Source organism: Homo sapiens, chromosome 1, assembly GCF_000001405.40.
Source record: "Homo sapiens chromosome 1, GRCh38.p14 Primary Assembly".
NCBI classification, from domain to species: domain Eukaryota; kingdom Metazoa; phylum Chordata; class Mammalia; order Primates; family Hominidae; genus Homo; species Homo sapiens.
Window position 1 is genome coordinate 19,015,756 of NC_000001.11, and position 17,378 is coordinate 19,033,133.

A 17,378-nucleotide genomic window follows, 5' to 3' on the forward strand; every position below is an offset into this window, starting at 1 on the left:
AGTGCCTGGATTACAGGCGTGAGCCACTGAGCTTAGCCCAAATTTGTGTTTTCAACAAAATGTGTGCAAGGAGCTTATTTCATTCAGCCTTGTGTTGTAATTAGCTGATTGCCTGTGCCCTCCTGCCCCCCAGCTATAAACTGTTAAAGGACCACAAGAGTAACTTGTCACTGTATTAAAAGAAAGAATGGAGTGTTGGGAGGGGGGAAGTGGATTATCGGAGAATCTGAGTCCTTTATTTTAAAATAATAGTAATAGCATACATGAGTGAGTATTTAGTAAATGCCAAGTTCTGAACTGAGTTCTTCACACACTTGTCGCTTAACCCTTACAACTCTACTATGTAGGATGATGCGGTTAATTAGGGCAGTGTTCTCAAAATGTGGTCCCTGGAACCAGCAGCATCAGCATCACCTAGGAATTTGCTGGAAATGCAACTTCTAAGGTTCTACCCAGACCTACTGAATCAGAAACCCTGGGAGTCAGGAGCCAGCAATCTATGCTTGACCCAGCTCTCCAGGTTCTCCTGATGCAAACTCAAGTTTGAGAAGCCTGGACTAGGGGTAACAGGCAGCTCAGGGTTATTGAGGGCAGCCTTGAACTTGAGGATTAAAAGTTCTGTCCTGGGCCGGGCGTGGTGGCTCACGCCTGTAATCCCAGCACTTTGGGAGGCCGAGACAGGCGGATCACGAGGTCAGGAGATCGAGATCACCCTGGCTAACATGGTGAGACCCCGTCTCTACTAAAAATACAAAAAATTAGCCAGGCATGGAGGCACGTGCCTATAATCCTAGCTACTCGGGAGGCTGAGGCAGGAGAATCGCTTGAACCCGGGAGGCGGAGGTTGCAGTGAGCCAAGATGGTGCCACTGCACTCCAGCCTGGCGACAGAGCAAGACTCCATCTCAAAAAAAGAAAAAAAAAAGTTCCGTTCTAGCCCAATCAACGTAAGACCACCTGTAGCCTGACAAAATCAGATTTATCGGCCCATTGCAATGAAGGATAACACACACCAGAGGAACCAAACAAAGGACAGGATGGTACTATCATGGAATTTTGGAGCAGCATGGAATTCAGGTAAAATGTAAATGAAACAATGTTTTGATTGGCTCAAAGCAAAGCAGAACTGTGTGTTAAAAAATCAACATCAAGTCTGGACCACAAATTAGACCCAGAGCTCTATTTCCTTGAAAACTACAAAATTAAGCTAGGTTCGGAATGTTGGATCCAGAAAGCGCTATCTGAAGCTCTGCACCTGGGCTGGAAATCAGGGCTTCCCCTCTGTCAACGTGACTAAGACCCTCAGGGCAAGAGCCTGGTGTTTCATTCATACATTTCATCCCTCATCAAAATTCCTACCTACAACATTTCAAACAGCAAAGTTTCCGGTAGTCTGATTTTAGAGAACAAGGCTTCTTCTCATTGAGTAAAAAAGCAGTTGTCACTCAAAGATGCGAGCTGCTATGACCTTGTACAGCTGCAGCGTGTCCTTGGGAGAAATACGTTTCCTGGTAACTTTGCAGCCAGCTTTATCGATGTCTGTCCTTCCAGACTGACCAACAGCTGGCCAGGTTTATATTTTCTCGATCCAAGCTAATTTTTTTACTTTCTTGGCTAGAAGGTATTAAACAAGTTAACATTCATAAATTACTTAGAAAAGTGTGACAAATAATTAACATAAAGTATAATTCATATTACATAAACATGAACTAATATAAGTAAATATAATACATAATATAATGTTATAATTAGTACAAATATTAATTAACTAATTAAAGTAATAAGGATTATGGTTACATAAAAAGAAGAAGAGGCCGGGTGGTGGCTCATGCCTGTAATCCCAGCACTTTGGGAGGCCGAGGTGAGCAGATCGCTTGAGCTCAGGAGTTCGAGACCTGCCTGGTCAATATGGTGAAACTCTATCTCTACAAAAAAATACAAAATCAGCCAGTCTACTCTGGAGGCTGAGGTGGGAGGATCACATGATCCTGGGGAGGTTGAAGCTGCAGGAACAAGTGACCACGCCACTGTGCTCCAGCCTGGGCAACAAAGTGAGGCCCTGTCTAAAAAAAAAAAAAAAAAAAAAAAAAGAAAGATAGATCCTGGGTTCTAGTTTCAAAAATGCTGAGAAGGAGAGGGAGAAGTATTTGCTGAGTGCCTATTTTGTGCTGGGCTCCAAGTTACCTCATTTACTGTATAAGCCAAGAACTGTTACCGTTACTCATGAAGAGAGGTTTAAGGTGGTTGCCTAAGCTCATCTCGCTGATTAGGAGCAGAGCCAGGATTCAAACCCAGCCACAGCTAGGTGCGTGGCCATCTGTAAAACACCCACCCTTTAGGAGCTTTTGTCTTTTACTTGTAAAATAGAGGAAATACAACAAAATATTAGGTTGGCACAAAAGTAATCGTAGTTTTTGCCATTTTAAAAAAAATGGCAAATTTTTGCACCAACTTAATAGTTTTAAAGTTCTTTCTTATGCCAGTTTTCTCTCATAATTAAAGCTCAGTGATGAATTTCCTCCCCACCAAAGACAATATATGAAAAGATAATGGGACAAGGATAGTCATTATACATTCTTTATAATATCAAAAGTGGAGCCAGGTGTGGTGGCTCATGCCTGTAATCCCAGAGCTTTGGGAGCCGGAGGCAGGTGGATCACCTGAGGTCAGGAGTTCGAGACCAGCCTGGGCAACATGGTGAAAACTTGTCTCTACCAAAAACGAAAACAACAACAAAAAAAATTAGCCAGGTATGGTGGCGTGTGCCTGTAGTCCCAGCTACTTGGGAAGCTGTGGCAGGAGAATCTCTTGAACCTGGGAGGCAGAGGTTGCAGTGAGCCAAGATTGTGCCACTGCACTCTAGCCTGAGCAACAGAGCAAGACTCCACCTCAAAAAAAAAAAAAAAAAAAAAGTGGGAACTAACGTAAATGCCAAAAAATAAGGTCTGATTAAATAAATTAGAATATACCCATACAATTGAAGACTATTCAGCCATTACAAATGATGTTGTTAAAGTATATTATGAACATAAATATATGTATGACATGTTGTTCATATATTCCTAATATTTTGCAGAAAACATAGTTTAAAATAATGTATATCATCTACAGGTTCAATCCAACCCCGATCAAAATCCCAATGACATTTTTTACGGAAATAGAAAAATCCATCCTAGAAGTCATATTGAATCTTAAGGGACTCTGAATAACCAAAACAATCTTGAACAGGCACAAAGTTGGAGATAATACATTTCTTGATTTCAAAACACTACAAAGATACAGTAATCAAAACAGTGTGGTACTGGCATAAAGATAGACATCTAGACCAATGAAATAGAATAGAGAGTCCAGAAATAAACCCCTGCAAAAATAGTCAAATGATTTTCTTTTTTAAAAAAAAAAAATTTTTAAGGTCAGGGGTACATGTGCAGCTTTGCTTCACAGATAAACATGTGTCATGGGGGTTAGTTGTGCAGATTATTTCATCACCCAGGTATCAAGCCTAGTACCCATTAGTTATTTTTCCAGATCCTCTCCTTCTTCCCATCCTCCACCCTCTGATAAGCCCCAGCATGTGTTGTTCCCCTCTATGTGTCCATGTGTTCTCATCATTTGGCTCCCACTTATAAGTAAGAACATGGGGTGTTTGGTTTTCTGTTCCTGCATTAGTTTGCTGAGGATATGGCCTCCAGCTCCATCCATGTCCCTGCAAAGGACATGAGCTCGTTCTTTTTTATGGCTGCATAGTATTCCACAGTGTATATGTACTGCCAGTCTATCACTGATGGGCATTGAGGTTGATTCCATGTCTTTGCTATTGTGAATAGTGCTGCAGTGAACATATGCGTGCATGTGTCTTTATAATAGAACAATTTATATTCCTTTGCGTATATACCCAGTAATGAGAGTGCTGAGTCGAATGGTATTTTGGTCTTTGAAGAATCGCCACACTGTCTTCCAATTAGTTGAACTAATTTATACTCCCACCAACAGTGTATAAGAGTTCCTTTTTCTCCACAAACTTGCCAGCATCTGCTATTTTTTTTGACTTTTTAATAATAGCTATTCTGACTGGTGTGAGATGGTATCTCATTGTGGTTTTGATTTACATTTCTGTAATAATCAGTGATGTTGAGCTTTTTTTCATATGATTGTTGGCCACATGTATGTCTTCTTTTGAGAAGTGTCTATTCATGTCCTTTGCCCACTTTTTTAAGGGGATTGTGTGGCTTTTTCTTGTAAATTTGTTTAAGTTCCTTATAGGTGCCGGATTGGTTTTCAGCAAGGGTACCAAGACCATTCAATAGGGAAAGGAGACTTTTCAATAAATGATGTTGGTAAAACTGGATACCTACACGCAAAAAAAAAAAAAATGAAGTTGGACCCTTACCTTACCTTATATACAAAAAATTAACTAAAAATAAATCAAAGACCTAAACGTGAGAGCTAGAACTTTAAGATTCTTAGAAGAAAACATGGGGGGAAAGCTTCGTGACACTGGATTTGGCAGTGGTTTCTTGGATTTGACACAAAAAGCACAAAAGAAAAAACAGATAAGTTGGATTTCAGTAAAATAAAAAACTCTTGTGCATCAAAGGGCACTGTGTACAGACTGAAAAGACAATACATGGAATGGGAGAAGGAAGATATTTGTAAATCATCCATGTGATAAGGGATTAATATCTAGAATATAAATAACTCCCACACCTCAACAACAAAAATTCAAATGATCTGATTAAGAAATGGGCAAAACTGGCCGGGTGCGGTGGCTCACACTTGTAATCCCAGCACTTTGGAAGGCCAAGGCAGGCACATCAGGAGGTCAGGAGTTCGAGACCAGCCTTACCAACACAGTGAAACCCCATCTCTACTAAAAATACAAAAATTAGCTGGGCCTGGTGGCAGGTGCCTGTAATCCCAGCTACTCAGGAGGCTGAGGCAGGAGAATCGCTGGAACCCAGGAGGCGGAGGTTGCAGTGAGCCAAGATGGCGCCACTGCACTGCAGCCTGGGGGACAGGGCGAGACTCTGTCAGAAAAAAAAATAAAATAAAATAAAAAAGAAAGAAGGAAGGAAGGAAGGAAGAGAAAGAAAGAAGGAAAGAAAGAAAGAAAGAAAGAAAGAGAGAGAGAGAGAAAGAAAGAAAAGAAAAGAAAAGAAAAGAAAAGAAAAGAAAAGAAAGGGGCAAACCTGCACATTCTGCATGTGTCCCAGAACTTAAAGTAAAATAAAAATAAAAATAAATGGGCAAAAGGGCTGAGTGCAGTGGCTCATGCCTGAAATCCTAACACTTTGGGAGGACGAGGCAGGCAGATCACTTGAGGTCAGGAGTTCGAGACCAGCCAGGGCAACAAGGCAAAACCCCTTCTCTACAAAAAATTACCTGGGTGTGGTGGCACACACCTGTAGTCCCAGCTCCTTAGAAGGCTGAGGTGGGAGGATCACTTGAGCCCGAGAGGTTGAGGCTGCAGCGAGCCAAGATCGTGCCACTGTACTCCAGCCTGGGTGACAGAGATCCTGTCTCAAAACAAAACAAAAATAAAATAAAAAGACAAATACTGCATGATTCCACTTATACGAAATGTCCAGAGTAGCCACATTCATAGAGTCAGAAAATAGAATGGTGGTTGCCAGGAGCTGGGGTGAGGGAGAATGTGGACTTAGTGCTTTGTGTTTGGTGGGGAGGGCCGTTTATTAGTTTATCTTTATTTTTGTAGTGATGAGGTCTCACTGTGTTACCCAGGCTGGTCTCGAGCTCCTGACCTCGTGATCCACCCACCTCAGCCTCCCAAAGTACTGGGATTACAGGCGTGAGCCACCGCGCCTGGCCACCTCAATTTTTTTTTAAGTGTGTATCAAATGGTCTCATTTTTGTTTTTTATAAATGCCTATGTTTAAAAATATATGAAAGGATATATTTATAATGCCAATAGTAATTACCTCTAGGCAATCGATTATGAGTGATTTGAGGAAGTTACCTTATTTTCTAAAAGTTTACAGTGAATTTAATTATATAATAAAATACAATCCTGAAAAAATACAGACAGCAAGATTTCCAGTAATGTCAGCATTAAACAATTCTCTTCCACATAAAACAAGTATAAACTGGAAAAAATTATTTTGAAAATAACTATTTCAAGGCACTGGAAAATGACCAAAGGCAGATACCAACTTAACAAGTCTTCACTCTCAGGAAAAATGGCTGCTAAGAATAGGAACCGAATTTTTGACCTTCACACCTGGGGGTGTTCCTATTCTTCCAGTAAGGGTAATAAAAACCTACAGCTTTACTGGGCACCGGTGAACATGGTTCAAAGGTGGCATATTTCACAGGGAGATGTTGAAGGTGATAGAGCCATAGTAGGGCTGAGACAATAAACTCTTCACACATCTTCAGGTGACTGCTAAATTAAGCATAAATGTGGGAAGGCCCAGGGAAAATGAAAAGCCTGGGACACTTGGAAACTTCCTCCCTCTCCTCAGCATGCCTGAAACTAGAATCTTTGCATGAACTCCTCAACCCCTGCAGAGTTCAGGTGGCAGAGAGTTGAGTCCCAAAAGGAGAGAAAAGAGAGAAGTGGGTGGAAAAGGATTGGAAGCACAATGGCCAGTTTCTTTCCAAATTTGGTGAGATCCAGGAACAGATCCAGGAAGCTAAACAAGCTAAACAAGAAGGTGAAACACAACGAGAATCACACATAGATACATCATGGTCAAACTGCTGAAAGACATAGTCCTGACAGCAGCAACAGAACAGCCACACATCACATACAGAAGGTAATGATATGATGAGCTGCTGAGACCAGCCTGGCCAACACAGTGAAACCCCATCTCTACTAAAGATACAAAAATTAGCCAGGCATGATGGCACACACCTGTAACCCCAGCTACTGGGAAGCCGAGGCAAGAGAATCGCTTGAACCCGGGAGGCGGAGGTTGCAGTGAGCCGAGATTGTGCCACTGCACTCCAGCCTGGGCGACAGAGCAAAACTCCATCTCAAAAAAAAAAAAAAGAAAAAAAAAAGATAAGCAGCTGAGTTCTCACCAGAGACAATACAGGCCAGAAGACATTGGGATGACATGGGATGAAGTATTCACAGTACTGGAAGAAAAAAAATCTTGTCAACAAAAAAATTCTCTATATAGTAAAACTATCATTCAAAATAAGGGTAAAATAAAGACATTTACAGAAAAATTACAATGTGTTGGTGGGACCAGGTGTGGTGGCTCACGCCTGTCATCCCAGCACTTTGGGAGGCTGAGGCGAGTGGATCACTTGAGGTCAGGAGTTTGAGACCAGCCTGGCCAACATGGTGAAACCCCATCTCTACTAAAAACACACACAAAAAAAAGTAGCTGGGCATGGTGGCGTGTGCCTATAATCCCAGCTACTTGTGAGGCTGAGGCAGGAGAATCATTTGAACCTGGGAGGTGGAGGTTGCAATGAGTCGAGACCACACCACTGCACTTTGGCCTGGGTGACAGAGCAAGGTAAAATATACATCTAAAAAAAGTATGTTGGTGACACATTTCATTGCAGTAAAACTCAAAAGGTTAAAGACTAAAAGAAAATTGAATAAAAACTATAAACTAAAGAAAAATCATATCTGAGGGTCATCCAGCTCCACAGGTAGGAATGAAAGTGGTAAATATGTGATCTGTTTTTTTCTTTTGTTTTCTTAATTTCCTTAAAAGATATATGACTATTTAAAGCAAAAATTACAACAGCATACCATTGGGTTTATAGCGTAAATGGATGTCATATGTATGACAACAATAGCATAAAGGAGGGTGAGGGAATATGCTGACACAAAGTTGGTGGGAGTTAGTCATTATTAATATAAAGTAGATTTTGATAAGATAAAGATGCATATTACAATGCCTAGAATGATCACTAAAAATCCACAAAAATATCAAAGAAGAGAATTTAAATGATGTACTTAAAATATTTGTTTAACACAAAAGAAAGTAGTTTAGAAGGAACAGAGGAACAACAAGGAGATAAGACAAGTAGAAAACAAATAGCAAAATTGTGGACCAATTCTAACCATGTCAATAATTACAATAAATGTGAATATGAACTAAACCTCCCACCAAAAGGCAGAGATATTTCAGATTGAATTAGAAAGCAAGACCCAACTATATTCTGTCTACAAGAAAGTAAAAGGATGGAAAAGGATATACCATGCAAATAGGTGCAAGAGAGCTGGGCTGGCCATATTAACAACAAACAAAATAGACTTAGAGACAAGCAGTATTACTATAGACAAAAGAAGAACAGTTCATAATAATGAAAGGGTCAATATGGCATCAAGATATAGCAATTATAAATCTATATACTTATGATAACAATGCCCCCAAATACACGACGATTTTGATATTCCTTTCTTAGTAATTAATAGAAAAAGTAGTCAGAAAATCAGAAAGGATATAAAATAACACTATCAAGAAACTTGACCTAATTGGCATTCATAAAACTCCACCTAACAAAAGCAGAATATAGTTATTCTAAAGTGTATATCACAAAAAGGAATATGGGAAATCCCCCAAACATGAAAATTAAACAATATACTTTTAAATAACTCATGGTCAAAACAAGATATCACAAGGGAAATTAGAAAAATATGTTGCCCTAAAAACACAACATATCAAATTTTGCAGGATTTAGTTAAAGCAGACTATGCAGGGAAATTTATACCTTTAAATGCTTATACTAGAAAAGAAGAAAGCATAAAAATAAGTATCTAAGCTTTCAAGTTAGGAAGCTAGAAAAAGGAAAGCAAATTAAATCTGAAATAAGTGAAAGAAAGGAATAAAGAGAAGCGCAGAAATTAATAAGGTAGAAAACAAATAATTTTTAAAAACATAATGAAACTAAAAGCTCATTTTTTGTAAAGATTAATAAAATTGATAAACCTTTAGTTAAACTGATCCAAAAAAACAAGTGGGGGAAGACGTCATAAATTACCAATATCAGGAATAAAATGGTGACATCACTACGAATCCTACAGACATTAAAAGAATGACTTCCACTTACAACCAAAATGAAATCACAGGAGCCCGATTTACTCTCCTACTGAAAACAACTGAAGTTGCAGACAAAATGTATGAAATAAAAGTTCTCAAGACATTGGATAGTAGGCAACAAAGATCCCTGATCCCTGAAAGATAGAGAACAGGCTGGGCACAGTGGCTCACACCTGTAATCCCAGCACTTTGGGAGGCCAAAGGGGGCAGATCACCTGAGGTCAGTAGTTCAAGACCAGCTTGGCCAAAATGGTGAAACCCCATCTCTTCAAAAATACAAAAATTAGCCAGGCATGATGGTGGGTGCCTATAATCCCAGCCACTTGGGAGGCTGAGATGGGAGAATTGCTTCAATCCGGGGGGCAGAGGTTGCAGTGAGCTGAAATTACACCATTGCACTCCAGCCTGGGCAACAGAATGAGACTCTATCTCAAAAAAAAAAAAAAAAAAAAAAAGATAGGGAACAAATGACATGAGCCCTGCAATTACTGCAGCTCATTGCCTTGAATGAGTTTCCCGGCTGCAGCACAGGGAAGGGAGACCCAAGTGGAGCTCAGCAGACTCCCTGAGTTGAGAATATAGAGCTGAAAGTCCGGGAAGACTAAGTTGGCCAGAGTTGCAGGACAGAGTACTGAAGAGAGCTGCCCAGAGAAGGAATCTCAGCGTTCTGCAGAGGGTCCCCATCAAATATGCATTTGAGAATCGATTGGTATATGAGTGCTGGAAAACTACCTAAGACCATGGAAAGAACCATCACAATGGACTAGAGGAAATAGTAACTTGAGATCACACAGGCTGGGAATAGTGCCTGTTTCCATTGGCCAGACTGAAAAGCCTCAGAATTCATTGGACATTGTGTAAAGTATTCAGAAGGGTCTCGACTTGGTAGTAATGCTGCTCTGGTCTCATTTTACAAACCTTAAGGGCAAGACCCAAAAGGATGAAGCTGCTTCCAAGTAGCTTAACTGTGTCCCAGAAAAAATGAACAAACTCAAGAATACTTACAGGAATACAAAGTATTTAGCATCCAACGAGGTAAAATTTTCCAGTCAAAAATTATTAGGGATGGGGCACATGTTGTCAGGACCTCCTGAGGCTGTGTCACAGAAAAAAAAATCAAATATACATATATATATTTTGAGACAGAGTCTCACTCTTGCCCAGGCTGAAGTGTAGTGGTGCAATCTCGGCTTACTGCAACCTCCACCTCCTGGGTTCAAGCAATTCTCCTGTCTCATTCTCTTGAGTAGCTGGGATTGCAGGTGCCCGCTACCACGACCGGCTAATTTTTTGTATTTTTAGTAGACATGGGGTTTCACCATGTTGCCCAGACTGGTCTCGAACTCATGACCTCAGGTCATCTGCCCCTCAGCCTCCCAAAGTGCTGGGATTACAGGCCCAAAAATAAATTTTAAAAATTACTAGGCATGCATAAGGAAAGAAAATACCACTCATGATGGACAGAAAAATCATTCCATTGAAATGGACCCAGAATTGACATAGATGTTAGAATTGCAGATAATGACCTGAAAACATATAGCTGTATTCCATATGTTTAAAAACTAGAGGAAAGATTGAACATGTTAAGTGGGGATTTTTTCTTTTTTCTTTTTTTTTTTTTTTTGAAGGAGTTTCACTCTTATTGCCCAGGCTGGAGTGCAATGACGCAATCTTGGCTCACTGCGACCTCTGCCTCCCAGGTTGAAGCGATTCTCCCGCCTCAGCCTCCTGAGTAGCTGGGATTACAGGTATGCGCCACCACGCCCGGCTAATTTTTGTATTTTTAATACAGACGGGGTTTCTCCACGTTGGTCAGGCTGATCTCAAACTCCCGACCTCAGTGATCCACCCGCCTCGGCCTCCCAAAATGTTGGGATTACAGACATGAGCCACCATGCCTGGCCTAAGTGGGGAATTTTAAGAGATGAAAACTATAACGGAATATACAATGGGATAGAAAACTTTTGGGGTGGTGAATTTGTTATTATGATGTGGTGATAGCTTCACATGTTTGTATGTCAAAATATATAAAATTGTGCCCTTTGAATATGTGTAGTTTATTGTCTGCTAATTGTGCCTCTATAAAGCTATTATAAAATAATATAAATTTAAAAAAGGACAAGAGAATATTGTAAAAAATTTTATACCAACAAATTTGAAAACATAAAATGGGCAAACATACAGAAAAATAAAAATTACCAAAACTGACTCAAGAAGACATAGAAGATCTAAATATACCTGTATCAAGTAAACAAATTGAATTGGCAATTAAAAACTTTTCCACAAAGAAAAGTCCAGGCCCAGATGGTTTCACTGGTGAATCCTATCAAATATTTAAGGAAGAAATGCTACCAGTTCTATGGAAACTCAGAAAATACAGGGGGAAGAAGCAATTCCAAATTCATTTTCTGAAGCTAGTATTACCCTGATACCAAAGCCAGACAAAGAAATCACAAGAAAGAAAACTATACCTCAATATTCCTCATGAGCACAGATACAAAAATCTTTAACAAAGAGCAAATCAAGCCCAGCAATATTTACAGAAGATAATACATCATGGCCAAGTAAGATTTATCCCAGTAATGCAAGGTTGGTGTAACATCCAGAAATCAATTCCTGTTCTACACCATATGATCAGATAAAGGAAAAAAAATTATAAAGCCATCTCAATAGATGCAGGAAAAGCATTCAACAAAATTCAACAACCATTCATAACAAAAACTCTCAGTAAACTAGGAATAGAAGGGAACTTCCTTAACCTGATAAAGAACATCTATGGACTGGGTGCAGTGGCTCATGCCTGTAATCCCAACACTTTGGGAGGCCAAGGTGGGTGGATCACTAGAGGTTAGGAGTTCGAGACCAGCCTCGCCAACATGGTGAAACCCTGTATCTATTAAATACAAAAAAAAAAAAAAATTAGCTGGCCATGATGGCAGGCACCTGTAATCCCAGCTACTCAGGAGGCTGAGGCAGGAGAATTGTATGAACCCGGGAGACGAGGTTGCAGTGAGCTGAGATCATGCCATTGCACTGCAGCCTGGGTGACAGAGCGAGACTATCTCAAAAAAAAAAAAAACAAACAAAACAACAACAACAAAAAACACCTATTAAAAACCTACAGCTAACATCATATTTAATGGTGAAAGACTAAATGCTTCCTACCTAAAATCGGAAACAAGATAAGGATGTCTGCTCTCACCATGGCTACTCCACACTGTGCCATTTGAATGGCTGAGATAAACAAAACAAAACACCTGACTCTACCCAGTAAAGCAGGAAAAAAAAATGGGGGACAAGGAAGTTGCTGCGGAGGAAGGACTGTGAGAACAAGGATGGATACTCTGACCTATATTCACGGCTGGTTTGACATCTGTGTGCTACAAACCACCAACCTTCTGGCCGAGATTGGCGGAGAAGATGGGCTTCCATGGAGACGGAGCCCCGCCCAACAGGGCAGAGAGGCATGTGACCCAGTCATTGCAGAGCACTGTGACAGGCTCCACAAGGGCTCCCAGCTCTGTGGGCACACTGAGGAGGGGGCCATCAACCCCTTCTGGGAGAGGGGAGGCTTCCCAGGAAACGAAGTGCCAGAGGGTGGAGCCTCCTGGGAGCCCAGACGGTGGAGACTTGAAGCTATTAGCTTCACTTCCTGCCATTCCCTCCCTCCTCTTCCCACCCACTAGAGTGCCAGGTGACTGTGATTTCTTTTTTAATTAAAGTGAACCCAATTCAATCTTGCCTAGAGAGTTTCCTGATACCTCTTGGAATAGAGTCTTGCTGGGGTGTTGCAAAAACTGGGTTGGGCATCTGTATTCTAAACTCTGAGGGCAACTGTGGGGACCACCCTCCCGGATGCGAGTTTGGTCTCAGTGGGGTTGGGGGCAGGACTAGGTGGCAAGGACAGTGTTCCAGGTGCATAGAGGGACCTGTGCCCACCCGGTGCTGTCTTCATAGAAGAAAACAAAAGCCCCTGCACAAAGGCCCTGCCATGGTGCCCGGTGTGTTGAACTGTCCAGAGACCCTGTGTGACCAGGGCATCATTAGCAGAGACCTCAGGGAGCCACAGAAGTCTGGGAGGTAAACATCTGTGTCCAAGGGCAGGGCAAAGTCTTGGGGTGGTTATTCAGCTCTGTGAGTGCATCTAATTGTCTCAAGGGCGTAGCTTTGTCCCAGCAACATTGGCAACTCCTGGCGGGCAGAATTTGGCTTCACATAGTTTCCTTATGCGCCTAGAAAGGAGGGAACGAACATCTATTGCAAGCCTGCTGAGTGCTTATGGGCATTATGTATGCATTCAGTCTTTGTGTCTACATGGGGACATTATCCCCATTTGAAGATAAGGAAACTGAGGCCCAGAGAGGTGAAGTAACTTGTCCGAGGTCACACAGAGGCAGATCTGGGATTCCAACCACAGTTTGTTTCACCAAAGCCCCCGCTTGGAAATCCTGGGCCAGTGAGGGCACCGCTGCGACTAGCCTCCTCATCTGGTTCATTCCCCAAAACCCGGCACCCCGGAGATGGGGCAGCAGGCGGGCATCCTGAGGTCAGTGCCTCCCTGCCTGCTTGGCTGTGTGCCTCAGGTGTCCTGGGTGCTAGGAACGTCATGGTAATCTCATGCATGAGTAAGGCTCGAAAGATGTACTGAAAGTTAGATGCAGTGATTAAGAAGACGGAAGGGGTGTCCCCCAGCTTCCCACCCCTGCCCCACTGTCGTTTCCCAATTCCTTCTACTGGTTTGACAGAAGGAACCAGTCCAGTTGACAGGAGGGAGGTGCTGGCCTCAGGCATGGCTGCAGGAAGCAGGCTGGGCAGGAGCAGGGCACGATTGCAACAGCACCCTGCCGCCAGCCACCTGCCGCCTGCCGCCTGCCGCCTGCCTTGCTCCATCCTGCCTGGCGGCCGTGTGAGGCTGCCTGTGTGTCTGTCATTGCTACTGGGACCCCTCGGGGATACCCACCCCCTGGGATTGGCCTTGGATCCTGCTGGTCCTCTACTAGCCCAACATTCTGCTCCTGTTTGTGGATGTTCAACTCTGAAAGTCCTCAAACAAGCCCCTATGTGGTCACAAAGTACCCCCCTGGTCACTCAGGTCTGGAGGACTCCAAGCACTCTTTGCTGGGGGCCAGGCTCAGGGGCCTGATGTTTCGAATCGCCTTTCTGAGGGCCTGTCCTGGCTCCCAGGTGACTGTGGGAGATCCTGAGCTATGCCCTTGGAGCACCCTTCGCCAACTCCAGGCACAGCCAGTGTCCCCACCCTGGTGGCCTCTCCCCCTTGAACAGGCACACTGTGGCCCTGAGGATGATGTGTGATGATGACTTGTTCCTGATTTGCCTCCCATCAGTTTGTAAGCCTCTGGCACATAGAAGGTGCTCGGGAAAAGTCTGGAGACAGAAGGGAAGGAGGGAGGGAGGGAGGAGAGAGGGAGGGAGGAGAGAAGGAGGGAGGGAGGGAGGAGAGAAGAAGCAAGGGAGAAAAAGTGGGAGGCTGGAGCAGGGGAGAGAGGAAGGAAGGAAAGTGGGAAAGAAAGGAGAAGGAGGGAAGGAGGGGTGAGTCTAGCACAGTGCTCAACCCATAGGGGTGTTGTTGAATAGAAATAAATGATTCTGGGCTCACATCTGTAATCCCAGCACTTTGGGAGGCCGGGAAGAGTGGATCACGTGAGGTCAGGAGTTCGAGACCAGCCTAGCCAACATGGTGAAACCGTGTCTCTACCAAAAAATACAAAAATTAGCTGGGCATGGTGGCATGAGCCTGTAATCCCAGCTACTGGGAAGGCTGAGATGGGAGAATCACTTGAACCAGGAGGCAGAGGTTGCAGTGAGCCCAGATCGCACCGTTGCACTCCAGCCTGAGTGACAGAAAAAGACCTGTCTAAAAAAAAGGGAGAGATGGGGGAAGGAAGGAAGGGAGGGAGGGAGGGAGGGAGGGGAGGGGAGGGGGAGAGAGAGAGAGAAAGAAAGCAAGAAGGAAAGAAAGAAGGAAGGAAAGAAAGAAGAAAGAAAGAGAGAGAGGGAGGGAAAGAGAGATGGAAAGAGAGAGAGAGAAAGAAAGCAAGAAGGAAAGAAAGAAGGAAGGAAGGAAGGAAGGAAAGAAAGAAGGAAGGAAGGAAGGAAGGAAGGAAGGAAGGAAAGAAAGAAAAAGAAAGAAAGAAAGAAAGAGAAAAAGAAAGAAAAGAAAGAAAGGAAGGAAGGAAAGAAAGAGAGAGAGAGAAAGAGAGAAGAGAAAGAGAGGGAGGGAGGAAGGAAGGAAGGAAAGAGAGAGAAAGAAAGAAAGAAAGAAAGAAAGAAAGAAAGAAAGAAAGAAAAAGAAAGAGGATTCTGATGCATCTGCTTGCTAAATGTATTACCTTCTGAAAAGGAAACATTTTGTTGTTTTTATGATAGCGTTAGCACATGTCAATGTTAATGTTTTTCTAGATCAAAGATTGGCAAATTATTTTTCTATGCAGAGCCTAAATAATTTAGGTTTTGTGGATCACATGCTCGCTATAGCAAATTCTTCTGTTTTTGTTTGTTTGTTTTTACAATCATTTCAAAAGGTAAAAGCCATCCTTAGCTCATGGGCTGTATGAAAACAGACCATCAGCTGCATTTGGCCCATGGGCCATAGTTTGCAACCCCTATTCTAGATAATCCTGAAAGGTATAAATCAGAAAGCAAAGATCACCTGTAAAGCCCTCATCCAGAAAGAACCCCTGACACCATGTTGGTGGGTTTCTCTCTGGACTCTCTCTGGGAGTTTTGGTGATGAATATTTTACTGAAATAGGGTCAAACTCTAGATTCTGTTTAGCAACTGTCTTCTTTAAATTCAACAATATTATGTGGACCTAGCGCCACACTCCTGAATATGTACCTAGGACATCGTTCTTATGGATGGGTAGAGCCGCATTGCATGAGCCTAACCATTTCTTAGGCATATCTTGAGAGTAGAAGAGTTATGGCTTCTAAGTCCTTGCTCAGCTTATTCAAAGAGATCAAAACGATGAATGAATGACGGAGTTTAGTGACCTGGATACACAGCAGCCCTCCTACGGCAGACACACAGAAATGCCTCTTTGGTTTTTTTTGAGACAGTCTCATTCTGTCACCCAGGTTGGAATGCAGTAGCACGAGCTCGGCTCACTGTAACCTCCGCCTCTCAGGTTCAAGAGATTTTCATGTCTCAGCCTCCCAATTAACTGAGACCAGAGGCGTGCGCCACCATACCCGGCTAATTTTTGTATTTTTAGTAGCGATGGGGTTTCACCATGTTGGCCAGGCTGGTCTCGAACTCCTGGCCTCAAGCGATCTGCCCACCTCAGCCTCCCAAAGTTCTGGGATTACAGGCATGAGCCACCGCACCCAGCATGAAATGCCTCTCTCTGATGACTTTATTATGCATTTATTTTCACCCACCGCTTTCCAGCAAGGGCAGGAAGTCTCAGGTGGCGCTGACGGAGCAGAGAAGAGACACACAGACCCATGTGAGCCTTCACCCCCGGGCTGGGCTGGAGAGCGATGCTGTTGGACTGAACAGGAGCCCAGTTGATCGGGGCCTGGTGGAGGCGACAAAGCTGCCAGGCCCCAGCCTCGGAGCTCTTTGATGGGCCTTTCAGGCCAGGTGACACTGACTCACCCAGTCACACAGAGGTTTCTCCAGCATGAGTGTGGCCACAATTTAGAGACTCTGGGAGTCGGGGTCCTTCACTTTGCAGGTGGGGGTTGGATGCCCCGGCAGACAAGACCTCAGAGGACGGGAGATGGGAGTCTTTTCAACACATCCTAAGGCACCAGGGTGGCGGAGGCTTCGTGCATAGTGATAATACACAATGGAATGTGTCAGCCATGTGCAGGCCAATGCAACTTCATTTAAGTCTCCCCCTGCCCAATGAGAACAGCCCCTCCTTACAGGTGAGGAACTTAAAGCACAGAGCAGTCAAGTAATTTGCCCAAGGTCACATTGTGGGAAGCGGGAAACCCCAGAGCTGACCCCTCCACCCGGCTCGGACTCTAGTGCTCTCGAACAGTGCGACAGGGCCTGTATTCTCCTGTGCAAACCAAAAGCACCCATGTTGGGGATGCTGCCGTGCAGTGGGAAAGCCACGTGAGCCCCCCACCCTCTAGAAGCAGGAGAGCGTGGGGAGTCCCCCGGCCTCTGTGAGCTGCATCTCATCTGTGCAATGGGGGGCATTGCGCTTCCCTCCTCATCCTCCAGGAGGGGTGCTGGGAGACACAACCCAGAGCATGGACATGCACGCACTTTGGGTCATGTGATGTGAGGGGTGACAGCTGGGCAAGCTGGCCGATGGGGGACATCTCAGAGAAGTGGCACTGAGGTCAGAAGCAAGATAAAAGCACTGTCAGCTGAG

At 43.5% G+C, this 17,378-nt stretch overlaps 1 long non-coding RNA gene across 1 annotated transcript in view, besides 1 other annotated feature; it reads right to left on the minus strand.

Annotated features, from left to right (window-relative positions):
• Positions 1–17,378, minus strand: part of LOC105376815 (uncharacterized) — an 83,235-nt gene that overhangs the window by 47,562 nt on the left and 18,295 nt on the right. The gene's annotated exons all lie outside the window — the stretch shown is intronic.
• Positions 12,548–13,048: an enhancer, noted in NCBI's record as "H3K4me1 hESC enhancer chr1:19354797-19355297 (GRCh37/hg19 assembly coordinates)". NCBI's record gives its function as "activates a minimal SCP1, AML or CMV promoter by ChIP-STARR-seq in primed H9 embryonic stem cells {active_cell/tissue: H9 hESC(primed)}" and the evidence as "EXISTENCE:reporter gene assay evidence [ECO:0000049][PMID:30033119]".